Source organism: Homo sapiens, chromosome 13 (genome assembly GCF_000001405.40).
Source record: "Homo sapiens chromosome 13, GRCh38.p14 Primary Assembly".
NCBI classification, from domain to species: domain Eukaryota; kingdom Metazoa; phylum Chordata; class Mammalia; order Primates; family Hominidae; genus Homo; species Homo sapiens.
This window is the reverse complement of record NC_000013.11, coordinates 43,843,305-43,861,293: the sequence shown is the minus strand read 5'-3', so window position 1 is coordinate 43,861,293 and position 17,989 is coordinate 43,843,305. Positions and strand designations below refer to the sequence as shown.

General features: G+C 35.3%; 1 protein-coding gene across 10 annotated transcripts in view; it reads left to right on the top strand.

The window, feature by feature from the left end:
* CCDC122 (coiled-coil domain containing 122) overlaps window positions 1-17,989 on the top strand; it is a 60,723-nt gene that overhangs the window by 18,447 nt on the left and 24,287 nt on the right. For 9 of the 10 annotated variants that reach the window (XM_047430112.1, XM_047430113.1, XM_024449327.2 and 6 more), the window contains 2 exons: window positions 1,224-1,622; window positions 2,397-2,513. In XM_047430112.1, the coding sequence (XP_047286068.1) occupies window positions 1,224-1,622; window positions 2,397-2,513 (516 nt within the window). Of the gene's footprint in view, window positions 1-1,223; window positions 1,623-2,396; window positions 3,144-17,989 lie in introns of those variants that run through there. The other variant, XM_047430114.1, reaches the window with a different exon arrangement.

The following is a 17,989-nucleotide window of genomic DNA, read 5'->3' as shown; positions in this document are numbered from 1 at the left end:
GGTGTTATCAGTTGTGACTGAAACAAAAGCTTTAAAAAACTCTTCCATAACTGAATTTCACTCTTCTGCATCTATTATTATCATAAGACATGCCTGGGTTGGCCCATTGGAGGAGAAGATACACATAAAGCAAAGCCAAGACACCCCTGTCAGCCCAGTTAAAGCCAATTTAAATCATCTTACAATCAGCCAATCCCCAGACACTTGGGCAGATTCAATCAAGATCAGCAGAACCACCTAGCCAACCCTTGCTTCTCCCAGGCTTATGAACTACCTAGCCAACCTCAGCTGCTCCTAGTCATGTCAGCAATATATACTTATGTATTGTTGTATGCTACTGAGGTTTTGTGATTCTGGCAACAGATAATTGATACAAGGAGTAATAGGCTGAGGTTGTAGAAAGGATTCATTCAATTTTTGGATATAGTGAATTAGAGGTGGCCATTGGCAGCTGGGTGTAGAACTCAGCAGCCACTTATATTCTGTGAATCATCGGCAGATATGTAGCTGAAGATGTAAATTTGGGTGAAATTACCCAAGGAGCATATATAGAGAGTGAGAAGAGGAAATTATGATGACTGAAATCTGCAGAAGACCTATATTTGAAGGAACTGTTGAGATTGAGAAGGAATTCTCAGAAATTTCTAAGGAGAACCAGAAGACTGGTGGTGTGAAAACTAGGCTTTAAAAAGAAGGCAGCAGTTAGCAATGCAAAATGCCCCAGGGAGGCAAAGTAAATATCTTTATACTCATTTTACAAATGGAGAAAGTGTAGTTTGAATGGGGTAATTAAGTTTGTTATGCATGATCATACGAAGTAGTAAATAGCAATAAGTGTGCTGGACCTAGATCTTTTGATTCTTAACTCAGGGCTTTATCATTTTTTATCATATTGTCTTCCCTGAGTGTATACTTCTGATGCCTATAAATAAATTAGTAAAATTATTATAAAGTATCTTACATATATAAAATGTCAAGATAAAACAATGAGATTTTAATATTTAGAATTAGATGAACATTAAAAAATATATAACTGAGGTCCTTCTGAAATTATAAAATAATTGTGTTTATTGCATGTTTCCTTGTATTCATTAATTTTTAAATATCTGATAAATATATTCTTATAAGTGATTTTTCCTATATTCATTATGGATTAAAACATTGATTTTCCTCTCATGTTTAATATTTTGAATTAATAATGATAATGTTAAAATGTATTACAGAATGAACTTCATGAGCTTGAAAAAGAAATAGCAGCTATCTCTGCAGAAACTAAAGAAACAGAAAGACAAATTTATCAACAAGATTCTGCCATAGAGAATACCAAACTTCATTGTGATAGCCTGGAAACTCAAATCAAATCCTTACATTCAGAAAATGTAAAGCTTAAATTTGACATAGAAACAGCCCAAGAAGATTTTGAGGAACACATGATAAAATATAATGCATATTATGCAAAAATAAAAGCACATAAAAATAGTTTGGGGGAAGTAGAGAGCAAATGGTCATTTATGACTGAACTCCATGAAAAGCGAGATTTTGTTAAAAAATTAAAGACAATGAAAGAAGAACTTATGCAAGATCTTCAAAATCCAGGAGGGAACCGAATAACACAAGTACAGGTGTGCAAAATTACTTAGTAAAACTATTTTTTCTATTACTCCTTTTTTGCAAGTACATACATTAAATGATAAATTTATTGTGAAGTTAATAAAATGCCCATAGCTGTCCTATTACCTTCAGAAACTATTTTCATAATTGAAAAAAACTTGGAATAAGTACATGTGTTATATAACAACGACCCTAGATGCTCAAATGCATAAAGGAAACATCCACAAATCCCCTGTAGATTTATAAAACTACATGGTCAAATAAAATCACAGTGAACAATTAATCCATTTGTTGTAGAAAATGTAATTCACAAAAATGTTAAAGACTTAGCTTCTATGCCAATGGATCCAGACCAATTCAAATCAATTTAGTACACTTAATGGTGTTATGCAAGCAATATAAATTAATAACTGAACCTTAAGCATCTTACTATTTCTCTTACTGTTCTTTGAAGACGATAGAAGACACAAACTTAAAATATTGATCATTTCTTGCTAGAGAATTAAAAAGTGTCTTTTACACTGTTGTTCGGCAGTTGCCACCATAACTACCACTTTCCTTTTTGTCTTATTTTCATTTGGTTTTTAGTTCTGTGTCAAATGTAAGGTTTCTTTGAGTAACAGTTCTTTATTTTTGTATACGTATAGAAGTAATATTCTAATGCTATTTATCAAAACTAAATTTTGATTTGGCTAGTTTTCTTAAATTATAGAAACACTGAAAAATTGGATTTATATTGATCATCCTTTTTTGACTTCTATATTTCAAATGTTGTCAACATACAGGAAGACATTACAAACTTAAAGGATAAAATTATAACTGTAAAAGAATCTATCATTGAAAAAACTTGTTTTCTTGAGGAAGAAAAAAAGACACATGAAAAATTAAGAAAAGAAATAGAGGTAAGTCTTAATTATCTAGATTTCAATGTTTTATGGGACCATTTTTAAAACTTAACACTATATTCATATTTCCATAGTTTACTCTCAATACTCAAAACAGTTGAAGAACAAGAAAGAACTATAAAATTTAGTAAATACAAATCATTAATAGATAACTAGAGATAACCCCCTCATTCAAAGATGTTCAAATATGTGAATGTGTTCAAACAATGCAAGCATTCACTCCTATTTAAATCTGGGCGAGGGTTCTTCCAGGTTTTTCTCATTCCACTAAGAACATGATACCCAATTAATGGCTAGAAAGCAGCTATGTAGTCAAAGAGGATGCCCATTCTTAGATATCAAAGACTCCTCAAAATAGAATAAAACACAATGGAAAGCATCGTCTTTCCAAACCTCTCTGACTTCATATTCGCAATTATCAAGAGTCAAGTTAAAAAAACAAACTGAAAATATGCAAAATTGAAAGTCAGAGTAAATTCATAATGTGTTGTGGTGCTGCCTGTGGACTTCTATTGTCATTATTGTTTGGATGAATGGTGAACAGAAATGTAAAATAATATGCTATTAAGGGCAAATAATTTTTGCCTGAATACATTAATTTGGAAAATAAAAATATGCATGTTTCAACTTGTTTTTGACTAATTTGACACAATACAAAGCATCTGAGGAAATTAAAGATAAAAATCCTCATCTTTACATATTCGCTATTAAAAAATATCACGATTTTACCTTTTAGTTTACTAGGAATCTAAATAACGATTCTTTTTGCCCTTGTAGACATTAAGGTTCATTATAAAACAATAAATAGTAAGACAGTGTATCAGTGGTAAAAGAGTAGAAAAAAATATTATTATTATTATTTTTTCTTTATTTTTGAGACGGAGTCTTGCTCTGTCACCCAGACTGGAGTACAGTGGTGCGATCTCAGCTCACTGCCGCCTCGGCCTCCCGGGTTCCAGCGATTTTCCCATCTCAGCCTCCCAGATAACTGGGATTACAGGCACGTACCACAATGCCCAGCTAATTTTTGTATTTTTAGTAGAGATGGGGTTTCACCATGTTGGCCAGGCTGGTCTCAAACTCCTGACCTCAGGTGATCCGCCTGCCTCGGCCTCCCAAAGTGCTGGGATTACAGGCGTGAGCCACCACACCCGGCCAGAAAAAAATTATTAATGAAAAAAAGAATCCAGAAATTATGCATCCTTGAGTGGTAAAAACAAAATAGATTACCTCTATGGAAAAATAAAGAAAAATGTTGAAATAAAACTGGATTCCTACCTCATAATACACACGTGCACACACACACACACACACACACACACACACACTTCTAAGTATTGAATACAACATAGGATAAAAACTTAAAAATTTGTGTCAGAAAAGCATTTATTTTAAAAGAGAAAAACACTCCATAAATTCTGTGGTTAAATATCTTTAGTTTTGACTATGCCATAAATTTCCAGATTATGGGAATATACCATCACAAGAGAAAGAACAAGACTCCATTCTAGATTATTATAACACATGTATGTGATAAGAAAGAGATAAGAAAATGTCAAATCAGTGAAACATTGGGCAAATGGTATAAAAAGACCATTTTTCTGAACCATGAATATCAGAAATAAAGAAAAATATGACCATCCTCATTAGCAATAAGAGACTGATAATTAAAACCACAGCAAAGTTCCATGTTTAGCCCATCTGATTATCGGTATTACAGTTGGGAGATGTTGAGCGTGGGAATTTTAATACAGTATTCTTGTGAATGTAAATTGCTAAAAGCACTTTGGAAAGAAATGTGAAATTACCTTTTAATTTTTTTACAGTAACATATTTTATTGAGGTATAATTGTCATAAGAGTAAGTACACAAATTATAAATGGATGGCTTGATTTATTTAGACTAACATGTACATATATTTATGTTGGCATTACCTAGATCAAGATATAGAACTTTCCCAGCATGTCCAGAAAGTTCTCTTCTACCCTTTTTATCAAATAGCCACTATTCTGATTTTTATAAACAGCTTTACTAAGATAAAATTCACATACCATACAGTTCACCGATTTTTGTCAGATATCCTGCAACAAAGTTTTATACATGAAAACAAATTATTGAGAGATTTTTTCTTTTCTTTTTTTTTTTTTTGAGACAGAGTCTCGCCCCATCGCCCAGGCTAGAGTGCAGTAGTGCAATCTCGGCTCACTGCAAGCTCTGCCTCCCAGGTTCACGCCATTCTCCTGCCTCAGCCTCCGGAGTAGCTGGGACTACAGGCGCCTGCCACCACACCCAGCTAATTTTTTGCATTTTTAGTAGAGACGGGGTTTCACCATGTTAGCCAGGATGGTCTTGATCTCCTGACCTCATGATCCACCCGCCTCGGCCTCCCAAAGTGTTGGGATTACAGGCGTGAGCCACCGCGCCCAGCCTTAATTTAACTTTTAAGTTCAGGGGTATGTATGCAGGTTTGTTATATAGGTAAATTTCTGTCATAGTTTGTTGTACAGATTATTTCAATAGCCAGGTATTAAGCCTAGTACCCATTAGTTATTTTTCCTGATCCTTTCCCTCCTCTCACCCTCCAGTGTGTGTTGTTTCCCTCTATGTGTCCATAAGTTCTCATCATTTAGCTCCCACTTATAAGTGAGAACATCCAGTATTTGGTTTTCTGTTTCTGCATTAATTCACTTAGGATAGTGGCCTCCAGCTCCATTCATGTTCCTGCAAAGGACATAATCTCATTCTTTTTATGGCTGCATAGTATTTCATGGTGTATATGTACCATATTTTCTTTATCCAGACTACCACTGATGGGCATTTAGGTTGATTCCATGTCTTTGCTATTGTGAATATTGCTGCAATGCACTTACACGTGTATGTGTCTTTATGATAGAATGATTTATATTCCTTTGGGTATATAATCAGTAATGGGATTGCTGGGTTGAATGGGATTCTGTTTTTAAGTCTGAGGAATTGCCACACTGTCTTCCACAATGGTTGAACTAATTTACACTCCCACCAACAGTGTATAATAAGTGTTCTTTTTCTCTGCAACCTTGTCAGCATGTTTTTTGTTTGTTTGTTTGTTTTGTTTTATTTTTTTACTTTTTGATACTAGTGATGATGGTATCTCCTTGTGGTTTTGATTTACATTTCCCTAATGATTTATGATGCTGAACTTTTTTTTGGTAGTTTAAAAGGAATAGCATCAAATCTATACATTGCTTTGGATAGTATGGCCATTTTAATGATACTGATTCTTCCTATCCATGAGCATGGAATGTTTTTCCATTTGTTTATGTCATCTCTAATTTATTTGAGCAGTATTTTATAGTTCTACTTGTAGAGATCTTTTACCTTCCTGGTTGGCTGTGTTCTTAGGGGTGTGTGTGTGTGTGTGTGTGTGTGTGTGTGGCAACTGTGAATGGGATTTGACTCAGTTTGATTGGTGTTATATAGGAGTGCTAGTGATTTTTGCATATTGATTTTGTATCCTAAGACTTTGCTGAAGTTGTTTATCAGCTTAAGAAGCTTTTGGGCCAGGACTGTTGGGTTTTCTAGATATAGCATCATGTCGTCTGCAAACAGGGCTAGTTTGGCTTCCTCTCTTCTTATTTGTATATGTTTTATTTCTTTCTCTTGCCTGATTGCTCTGGCTAGGACTTCGAATACTATGTCAAGTAAGAGTAGTGAGAGAGGGGATCCTTGTCTTTTGCTGGTTTTCAAGAGGAATGCCTCTGGTTTTTGCCCATTGAGTATGATGTTGGCTGTGGGTTTGTCATAGATGGCTCTTATTATTTTCAGGTATGTTCCTTCAGTACTTAGTTTATTGAGAGTTTTTAACATGAATCGTTGTTAAATTGTATCGACAGTCTTTTCTGCATCTATTGAGATAATTCATGTTGTGTTTGTCTTCAGTTCTGTTTATATGATGAATCATATTTATTGATTTGCATATGTTGAACCAAACTTGCATCCCAGATATAAAGCTTACTTGATGGTGATGGATAAGCTTTTTGATGTGCTTCTGGATTCAATTTAACAGTATTTTGTTGGGGATTTTTGCATCGATGTTCATCAAGGATATTGACCTGAAGTTTCCTTTTTGTTATGTCTCTTTCGGGTTTTGGTATCAGGATGATTCTGGCCTCATAGAATGAGTTAGGGAGGAGTCCATCCTCCTCAATTTTTTGGAATAGTTTTGGCAGGAATGGTACCAGCTCTTCTTTGTATATCTGATAGAATTCAGCTGTGAACCCATCTGGTACTGGGCTTTTTTCAGTTGGTAGGCTATTTATTACTGAATTAATTCCAGAGCTTGTTACTGGTCTGTTCAGAGATTCGATTTCTTCCCGGTTCAGTCTTGGGAGGGTGTATGTCTCCAGGAATTTATCCATTTCTTCTAGATTTCCTAGCTTATGTGTGTAGGGGTGTTCATAATATTCTCTGATGGTTATTTGTATTTCTGTGGGGTCAGTGGTGATATCCTCCTCATTTCTGATTAGGTTTATTTTGATCTTCTCTATTCTGTGTTAGTCTAGCTAGCAGTTTATCTGTTTTATTAATTTTTTCAAAAAACCAGCTCCTAGATTCACTGATCTTTTTGAAGGGTTTTTTTTTTGGTCTCAGTCTCCTTCAGCTCTGATTTTGGTTATTGTCTTCTACTAGCTTTGGGCTTGGTTTGCTTTTGGTTCTCTAGTTCTTTTAGTCGTGATGTTAGGTTGTTAAATTGAGATCTTTCTAACTATTTGATGTGGGCATTTAGTGCTATAAATTTCCCTCTTAACACTGCCCTTAGCTGTGTCCCAGAGATTCTGGTATCTTTGTTCTCATTAGTTTCAAATAACTTCTTGATTTCTGCCTTAATTTCATAATTTACTCAAAAATCATTCAGGAGCAGGTTATTCAATTTTCAATTTCCATGCAATTGTGTGGTTTTGGGTGAATTTCTTAGTCTTGATTTCTAATTTTATTGTGCTGTGGTCCAAGAGATTGTTATGAGTTCAGTTATTTCACATTTGCTGAGGAGTGTTTTATTTCTGATTATGTGATTAATTTTAGAATATGTGCCATGTGGCGATGAGAATAATGTATATTCTGCTGTTTTGGAATGGAGAGTTCTGTCGATGTCTGTCAGATTCTTTTGATCCAGTGTTGAGTTCAGGTCCTGAATATCTTTATTAATTTTCTCTCTTGATGATCTGTCTAATATTGTTAGTGGGGTGTTAGAATCTCCCACCATTATTGTGTGGGGGTCTAAGTCTGTTTGAAGGTCTCTAAGAACTTACTTAATGAATCTGGGTGCTCCTGTGTTGGGTGCATATATATTTAGGATAGTTAGGTCTTATTGTTAAATTGAATCCTTTACCATTATGTAATGCCCTTCTTTTTCTTTTTAAATCTTTGCTGGTTTAAAGTCTGTTTTGTGTGAAACCAGGATTGCAACTCCTGATTTTTTTTCTGTTTTTCCATTTGCTTGGTGGATTTTCCTCTATCCCTTTACTTTGAGCCTATGTGTGTCATTGCATGTGAGATGGGTCTCTTGAAGACAGCATACCAATGGGTCTTAGTTCTTTATCCAGCTTGCCACTCTGTCCCTTTTAACTGGGGCATTTAGCCCATTTACATTCAAGGTTAGTATTGATATGTGTAGATTTGATCCTGTCATCATGATGGTAACTGGTTATTTTGCAGACTTGTTTATGTGGTTGCCTTATAGTGTAACTAGTCTGTGTACTTCAGTGTGTTTTTGTGGTGACTGACTCTGGTGTTTCCTTTCCATATTTAGTGCTTTCTTCAGGAGCTCTTATAAGGCAGGTCTTGTGGTAACGAACTCCCTCAGCATTTGCTTATCTGAAAAGGATCTTATTTCTCCTTCGCTTATAAAGCTTAGTTTGGCTGGATATGAAATTCTGGGTTGGAATTTCTTTTCTGTAAAAATTTTGAATATTGGTTCCCAGTCTCTTCTGCTTGTAGGGTTTCTGCTGAGAGGTCCACTGTTAGTCTGATGGGTATCCCTTTGTAGGTGATCTGACCTTTCTCTCTAGCTGCCTTTAACATTTTTTCCTTTCATTTCAACCTTGGAGAATCTGAAAATTATGCATCTTGGGGATGCTATTCTTGTGAAGCATCTTACTGGGGTTCTCTGCACTTCCTGAATTTGAATGTTGGCCTCTCTAGCTAGGTTGGGGAAGTTCTCATAGATGATATACTGAAATATGTTTTCCAAGTTGGTTCCATTCTCCCCATCTCTTTTAGGGACTCCAATGAGTCATAGACTTGATCTCTTTACATAATTCAATATTTCTCAGAGGTTTTGTTCATTCCTTTTCATTCTTTTTTTCTTTATTCTTGTCTGACTGTCTTATTTTAGAAAGCCAGTCTTCGATCTCTGAGATTCTTTCCTCTGCTTGGTCTATTCTGCTATTAATATTTGTGATAGCATTATGAAATTCTTGTAGTGTGTTTTTCAGCTCTATCAGGTCACTTAGGTTCTTTTCTATACTGGCTATTTTGTCTGTCAGCTCCTGCATTGTTTTGTCATGATTCTTGGCTTCCTTGGACTGGGTTTTAACATACTTCTATAGCTTAATGACCTTCCTTCCCATATTCTGAATTCTATTTCTGTCATTTAAGCCATTTCAGCCCAGTTCAGAATCATTGCTGGAGAGGTGATGTGGTCATTTGGAAGAAAGAAGGCACTTTGGGTTTTGGGGTTATCAGGGTTTTTGTGCTGGTTCTTCCTCATCTTTATGGGCTTATGCTCCTCATCTTTATGGGCTTATGCTTCAATCTGAGCTGCTGACCTTTGGATGTTTTTTTTTTCTTTTATCCTATTTGATGATCTTGAGGGTTTGATTGTTATATTAGGTGGATTCATCTGACTAGCTTCATTTCTGGAAGATTTTAAGGGCCAACGCTCTGTTCCCAACTCCTGGACTGTGTGCTGTAACTCTGGGGGACTTGTATCAGGCCCCAGTTTTGTTCTCTGGCCCCTCAAGGTTAGGAATCCACTGTGCTGGGGGTGCCAAGGTGCTCCCAGACTGCTGGTCACTATACTCAGATGGGTTGTGTCAGCCAAAGTGTTCAGTAGTGCAGTGATAGCAGGATCCATTCTTGTTTGTGCATGCCAGCAGCAGCAGTAGTGGCAGTGCAGTGGGGTGCACACTCATCAGCTGTGGCAGAGTGCTCATGAGTCCTGGGGTGCTTGCCTCCCTGCGGGCATTCACTACAGTGGCAGAGACAGTGTAGTTAGGGGGAGACAGGGGGTCCCTGCTGATGGCTGTGTGTTTGGTCTCGCTGGTGGTGGTGTTGGCTCAGGAGCAGGGTGCTGGCAGGCACAGATCTGTGTCCAATTTACCATTTAAGGCATATACTTCAGAGACTTCTTATATAGTCATATATGTGCAACCTTCACCAAAGTTAAATTTAGAAATTTTCATCACCTCACAAAGAATTTTGTACTTTTTAGCTATGACCTCTTTATCTGTCTATTTACTCATAGTTTTGCTTTATTATGTTCTTTCTTCCTGACATTCTATGATTTCTTCTTATATCATTTCCTTTTTTATATACAACTTCTAAAATCATTCTTTTAGGGTAGGTCTGCTGGTAACACATTCTTTTATTTTTTTCATGTGAGAATGTCTTGATTTCTCCTTCATTCCTAAAGGCTATTTTTGCTGGATATAGAATTCTGGGTTGACAGTTCTTTCCACAGTTGAAAAATGTTATGCCACTTCATTTTGGTCTCTGTGATTTCTAGTGCAAAATCTGCTGTAATTCAAATTGGTTTTCCTATATATGTAAGGTATTTCTTTCTTGGTGTCTTCAAGATTTTCTGTCTGCAGAGTGAGCGAGATTGGGGAAAAAACATTCTTCTGTTTTCAGAAGTTTTACTATGACATGCTTTTGCATGGATTTCTTTGCATATATCCTTTTTGGAGTTCTCTCAGCTTCTCAATTCTGTAGTTTTGTATCTTTTGCCAAATTTAGGATTTTTCAGCCATCAGTTACTTGAATACTTTTTTAAAAAATCTGTGCCTTCTTTCTCCTCTCCTTCCATAACGAAAGATATGACATCTTTTGTTATAGTTTCATAAGCCCCTGAAGTTCTATTTATTTCTATTTTCAATCTATTTTCTCCCTTTTGTTCAGATTGAGTAACTTTAGCTTTCTATTTTTCAGTTAACTGATTAGTTTATCTGTTCTCCCATCCACTCTTGAATTCCACTGAACTCTTCACTTTGGTTATTGTACCTTTTAGTTCTTAAATTGCCATTTGAGTCTTTCTTATATCTTATATTCCTTTGCTCAGACTTTCTATTTTTTACATTTTTTCCAGGCATGTTTGTAATTGTTTATTGAAGCATTTTTATGACAGAGGCTTTAAAATGCTTGTCAGATAATTTTAACTTCTGTGTTATGTTCGTGTGGTGCATGTTGATTGTGATTTCTTGCTCAGTTTGAGATCTTATTTTTTGGTGTTATGAGCCATTTTTTATTGAAATGTGGACATGTTGGGTATTATGCTTTAAGATTCTAGATCTTCACTATTTCCAGGTGGCCATTGGGGTCTAGATTCTCCTACCAGTCTCCACTGACTCCATTGTTTCCCATGGAAGGGGGAAAGACTAGTCTGTAGGCCTCTGCAAATATCATTCTGGGTTGGAGGGAAAAGGAATCCTTGCTACTACTCCTAACATGGCCTCCAGTGACACTGCGAGGACATAGCCTGGTTACTACTGAGTCCTGGTGAAAGTCCTGACTCTCTACCAGAGCTCCTTTGATGTTACATCAGGGAGGAGAGGAATATTACACCTTGATGGGCGGAGAAGTCCAGGATCCTCAAATGGGCTCCAGCGACACCACAGTGTATGGTTTCTTGCTGCTTAGAGAGGATTAAAACTCCTGGCTCCACAGTTAAAACTCCTGGCTCCTTAGTTAGCTTTCCCTGAGAGTGCACCAGCAGAGGGATTAGGCACTTCATTACAGCCTTGCAATGGTAGAAATTTAGGCTTTCCACCCAGCCCTTGCTGGCATGAGTGTTGGAGGGGCCATAGTTTTTTCTGTAGTGTTTGACTTTAGTAAAACAGTTACTGCCTACAAGTTTTCTGTCTCACTAAGCTGCTATTTTCCTTATCTTTTGGCTAGATAGAACAAATTTTTCTTAGGGCTTTTTGTCTGTATTTCTTGGCATTTCCAGATTGCTGTCTTCTCCAGAATCCTCTCTGGGATATATGAGGAAAAAAGAAAACCCAGGACATTACTTGGGTCTTGAGGTTCCCTAAACAGTTTGCCTTCTTCTCTCCAACTTTCATGAGCTTCTAATGTTTGTTTTGTATAAAATGTCCAGAGCTTTTAGTTCTACTTATCAGGAAGAATAGGTAACTGTAGTATATCTACTTCATCTTGCCAGCAGTAGTATAAATTGGTAAAGGATGATGTAAGTGGTCACTAATGTTAGATTTAGAGGAAATGTTACTGAGATTAAGACTTCTGTTTTTTGATGTTTCCATCATAAAACTTCTTGTCATGAAATTTAATAAACTTTTTAAGTTTTCATAATAGGGACCCCTCTGTTAAGATTCTTTTGAACTTTTTCATTTCAATTCTATTACTTCTAATTCATTTAAAAGTTGTCCTCAATTCAGTTAAAAAATGAAAAGTTAAGAACTTAAAGATTCTTCACAACAAATTATGAAGCTGAAGGACCAATATAGTCAGACCATTTTCTTAAAACGTTACATTTTTGTGAATAATTTTATTTATTCCATGATGAGAATCGATCATTAATATGAGTAACCTTCTTCTCAAAACAACCAGTTTTTAGAGAAGGTGAATTCCAATACCAAAAGATTTTTATTACTTCTTTTTGGAGTCTTTTTTCTATCTCTTCTGAATATCTTTAGCCATGGCCTTGTTACAGTTCAAGAATCATCTTTTGCCTGGACTACAGCATTATTTTGTTCTAATTATTTTAAATATTGTGTTTTACATATTTTGGTTCTCATATTAATCTTGCTTTTACATTTTTTGGTTCATAAAAATAAAAAATGTTTTTTTGAATATCAGTGTTTTCCTGTCAAGTAAATGCTTTCAGTATTTTTAGGCCATATCTGAATGAAAAGAGCCTTTTCAAATATTTATTCCCTAAATGTCCTTCCCCCCAGTATCTATTGTCTGTCTTCTTATATTTTGGAAGAAAGGAACTAAAGATAGAGTGGAGAAAAAAGATAAGCTATGAGTCATTGACAAAAAACTGGGGAAGCAAAATACAAGGCAGGCAAACACAAAGCTTCAAATATAACACATTGAGCAACAATCAGTGGTTTCTAGTTCAAGGTAAAAAAAAAAAAAGTGTTATTTCCAAATCCAAGAGTTTTCAGACAAAGGACACTGGAGCAGTTGAGAAGTTTTTAGCAAATGATGAATGCTGCAAGCAATGCTTTGGCATAACAGACATTGTGTAAAGCATTGATGGCTTACTCTTGCCTAAATTTTGTACAGCATGAGTTTAAAATGTAAAAGAATATGGGAAAATTGTGTACACTTTAAGAGCTGCTAAGAGTGATGAACAAAGCATATTTAATTTAGTATGATGTAATACACAGCTATATAATTAACAAATGCATTCATTTATTGAGGTCAGCAACAGAAATGATTACACAACTAGAAAGCCAGTCCTATGAGAAAAACCCAGAGCCTGGGCACGGTGGCTCATACCTGTAATCCCAGCACTTTGGGAGGCCAAGGTGGGTGGATCACTTGAGCCCAAGAGTTTGAGACCAGCCTGGACAGCATGGCAAAACACTGTCTCTACTAAAAATACAAAAATTAGCTGTGCATGGTGGTGTGTGCCTGTATTTTCAGCTACTCAGGAGGCTGAGGTGGAAGGATTGCTTGAGACTGGGAGGAAGAGGTTGCAATGAGCTGAGATTGTGTCACTACACTCCAGCCTAGGCAACAGAGCAAGACCCTGTCTCAACAAAGGGAAAAGAAAAACCCAGAGAAGCAAAGGGAAAAAAGCTGATCTGAAGGCAAAGTAAGAATTATTCAGGTAGATGCAAAGATAATATAGTAACTAATTATTCTCTTTTGTAGAAAGTATAAGAAGAAATGTCCAATGTTATTAAATCTATTATTATTTATTGAATGCCTGGTATTTTTGTGGCACTTTTTATAGGCTATCCTATTTAAATTCCCCATAATAACATGTCTTACAAAGTTTTAGAAAATTTAAATAACTTGCACAAGGCTATATAGCTAATGATAAATGACAGAGTAGGATATGAATCCAAACCTGTTGGACTCTATTTTCCCACTTCTTTTTTTAAATATGGTTTTTGTTTTTAGGAATACATTCTCCTTAAAAAAGATTAAAATGTTAGAAGAAAGGCTGTAGTTCCTTTTATACCACCTTCTAACATGTTGTTCTCTATCATTACTCTCACCTCTTATTAATGGTACACACAAACCTCTTATTAATGGTACACACAAACACAAACCCCTGTGGGTGGAAGAATATTATGTAAATGTAGTATATGTATCATTTTGCAACTAATTTACTTATTCAACAATCTGTCTCATAGATTTTTCATATTGGTGCAAATTGGCCTACGTAATTATTTTTAACTGCTGCAAAATATCTCACAATTTGGCCATACCTTAATTTATTTAGCCATGCTACAACTGGTGAACATTTAAGTGTTTTCCAGTTTTTTCATTATTAAAAGTAATGTTGTAGCAAACATAATAAACAAACCCTTTGCACCAAGAAGTAGAATTACTGGGTCATGAGATAAAATCTGTGCTCTTTCTGTTACGTAATACTTTCTCTCAGTAACTATGAACACAACTAATAGTAGTAATATCTTATAGTTGAAATAATTTTATACTGTCTTGTGGATTCTTACTCCTTCATGAGGTTGGTTGAGTAAATGTTGAATTTTTCCTTATTGGAAGCCCCAAATTTGCATATTAGCTGCCCTCAAAAACTTGGCTGTAACTTAAACTGCACACACGAGGGATAAAATTCCAAGGAGCACAGTTGGGAAACAATTAGAATGCTTATAAGCTGAGTAGAGATTTCAGCATCTGCCCACTACAGCAACTGCCCAATTCCCACAACTGCCAAACTTTAGGAGTAAAGACATCTGTAACTAAGAACTAAAACAAAGCTGGACTAAGGGCAAGACCTAGATCTAAGGACAAAATTGAAATAGATGTACTCTAACTTAAAGTATAAAACAAAGTCTCACAAGTTCAAGATGATCCACCAGTAATTTAACTGACTATTAGAAGAAAACACTTTTCAGAGGAAAGTAACACAATTCAGAGTTTTCAACATGTGCACAATGGTTAGTAATAAAACATTACTCGATGTGAGGAAAAAGAAATATATTGGCCGGGCGCAGTGGCTCATGCCTGTAATCCCAACACTTTGAGAGTCCAAGGTGGGCGGATCACTGGAGGTCAGGAGTTTGAGACCAGCCTGGCCAACGTGTTGAAACCCTGTCTTACTAAAAATACAAAAATTAGCCGGGCGTGGTGGCGGGCACCTGTAATCCCAGCTACTCAGGAGGCTGAGGCTGGAAAATTGCTTGAACCTGGGAGGCGGAGGTTGCAGTGAGCTGAGATCGTGCCGTTGCACTCCAGCCTGGGCGACAATAGTGAAACTCCGTCTCAAAAAAAAAAGAAAAAAGAAAAATATGATCCATAGCTAAGAGTAGAATCAACCAATAAAAATAGCAACAGTTGACTCAGAAGTTGTTAGACAAGGACTGGAAAACTATAATAAGTATGTTAAACGTTCTACAGGATGTTTATAGTGGATATACAAACATCCTTTTCATTTTATAATTAAAAGAAGCGTATAATGATTGATATTGTGGGTAAAGAGAGAGGATTTTAATCACATAAACCAACCAAATGGAAATCTTAGAACTAAAAAAATAAGTTGAATTTTTAAAATGTATTGATAAACAACAGTTGGTGGACTTTGTTCCCAGTAGACTTGCACTACAAAAAATGCAAAAGAAACTTTTGTTTTGTTTTGTTTTGTTTTTAGAGATGGAGTCTTGCTCTTGCCCAGACTGGAGTGCAGTGGCAAGATCTCAGCTCACTGCAGCCTCTGCCTCCCGGGCTCCAGCAATTCTCCTGCCTCAGCCTCCCCAGTATCTGGGACTATAGGCATGCATTACCATGCCCTGCTAATTTTTTGTATTTTTAGTAGAGATGGGGTTTTGCCATGCTGGCCAGGCTGGTCTTGTACTCCTGACTTCAGGTGGTCTACCTGCCTCAGCCTCCCAAAGTGCTGGGATTACAGGCATGAGCCACTATGTCCAGCCTAAAGGAAGTTTTTAAAGCTGAAAGGAAATGATACTGGAAAGGACTAGAAATGGAAAATATGTAGATAAAGAGATGGGTCTTTTTTTGAGTAATTCAAAAGTCATTTGACACTTTAAAATCAAAGCAATAATGGATTTTGGGTTTTATAGCATGTAGAGTAAGATATATATCAAGAATAGCCTTTTGTTGTAAGGTTCTTATATTTTTACATGTACTGATATGTTAATTGAAGACAGATTGTGATAAGTTAAGAGAATATATTAAAATTCCTAGAGCAGCTTAAAAAATACATAAAGATATAAGCATAGCTAGAAAGACAAAGGAAGAAATGAAATGGAACAACAAAAAATACTCAATCCAAAAGAAGACAGAAAATGAAGAAGAAAGTAAAAGGACAAAAGGGACTAATAGAAGACAAACATTATGATGGTAGACTTTAACCCCAAAATATCATTAGTTACATTAAATGTAAATGAGCTAAGCATTCCAATTAAAAGGGAAAAAATTATTAGACTGAATAAAATAAATCAAGTGGCAAGCATAACCTCTTCACAAGAGATGCACTTTTAATATAAAGCCACACATAGTTTGAAAGTTAAAAAAAGGAAAAAGATACACGATGAATACACCAATCTTTAAAAAGCTGGTGTAGCTGTGTTAATATCAAGTAGATTTCAAGGTAAGAACTACTAACCAAGTTAAACAGGGTCAGTCAATTCACCAAGAAGGAATAACAATTCTACATGTACATTTACATAATAACAGAGTTTCAAAATACATGAGCAAAAACAAACAGAACCAAAGAAAAAAAGAGACAGATCTATAGTCATATCAGATATCTTAACTTTTTTGAGTAATTGATAGAACAATACAGAATATCAGTAAACATATAGAAGATTTGAAGAACTTATCCATCAACTTAACCTAATTAACATTTATAAAGCACTCCACATAACAACTACTGATTACACTTTAAGTGTACATGAAATATTCACCAAGACACACCATATACTAGATTACATATTTCAAAGTTGAAATTCTATTATCACAGCAGAATTCCATTAGAAATCAATAACAATGAGATAGCTAGAAAATACATAAGCTTTTGGAAATTGACCATACTTCTAAATAACCCATGAGTCAAAGAAGAAATCAGGAGAAAAATTAGAATATATTTGAAATTGAAGGATAATGAAAACACAACGTATGGAAAATTATGGGGTGAAGCTAAAGCAGTGTTTACAGGAAAATTAAGTTTTTAATGCCTATAATAGAAAAGAGAAAAAGATTTGAAATCAACTATCTAAGCTTCCACCATCACAGACTAGAAAAATAAATTCAGCAAAAAGTAAATAGAAGGAATTAAATGATAGATAACAGAAATCAATGAAATAGAAAACAGAAAAACGAGAAAACAATCAACAAAGTCAAAAGTTTAAAAGAGTAATAAAATCGAGAAACCCATAGCAATACTGATCAAGAAAAGAGAGAGATTAGTAGGGACATTACTCCAGGTTCTGTAGGCTTAAAAGGGTGATGAAGGCCTATTATGAATAACTTTATGCCAATTTGACAAACAGACAAATTCCTTGAAAAAAAAAAATACTATAACACAAGAAGAAAATGCATTCATGTTTAGCCTTATGATCCATTTCAAATTAAGCTTTATGAATGGTGTGAGGTAGGAATCAATGAAATTGAATTCATATTTAAAAACTCTTCCCATATATAAGGCTCCAACTGACACATTTTCATTAGTGAATTCTAATCATATATTTAAGGAAAAAATAATGCCCAATGTAAACAGACTGTTTCAGAAAATAGAAGATGAAACTCCTCCCAACTCATTTTAGGAGGTGAACATAACCCTGATACAAAAAGAAACAAAATTGATAGGAATCCTATCAGAGAAGAAATTACAGACCAATGTCCCTCATGAGTATAGATGCAAGTCTCTAACAAAATACTTGCAAATTAAATTTAGCAATATACCAAAAGTCTAATACATTATAACCAAGTGGGATTATCCTAAGAATACAAGGCTGATTCAACTTTCAAACATCAAATGATGTAATTTACTATAGTGACAAAATGACAGAAGTAAAAAAGATATAACCAACTTC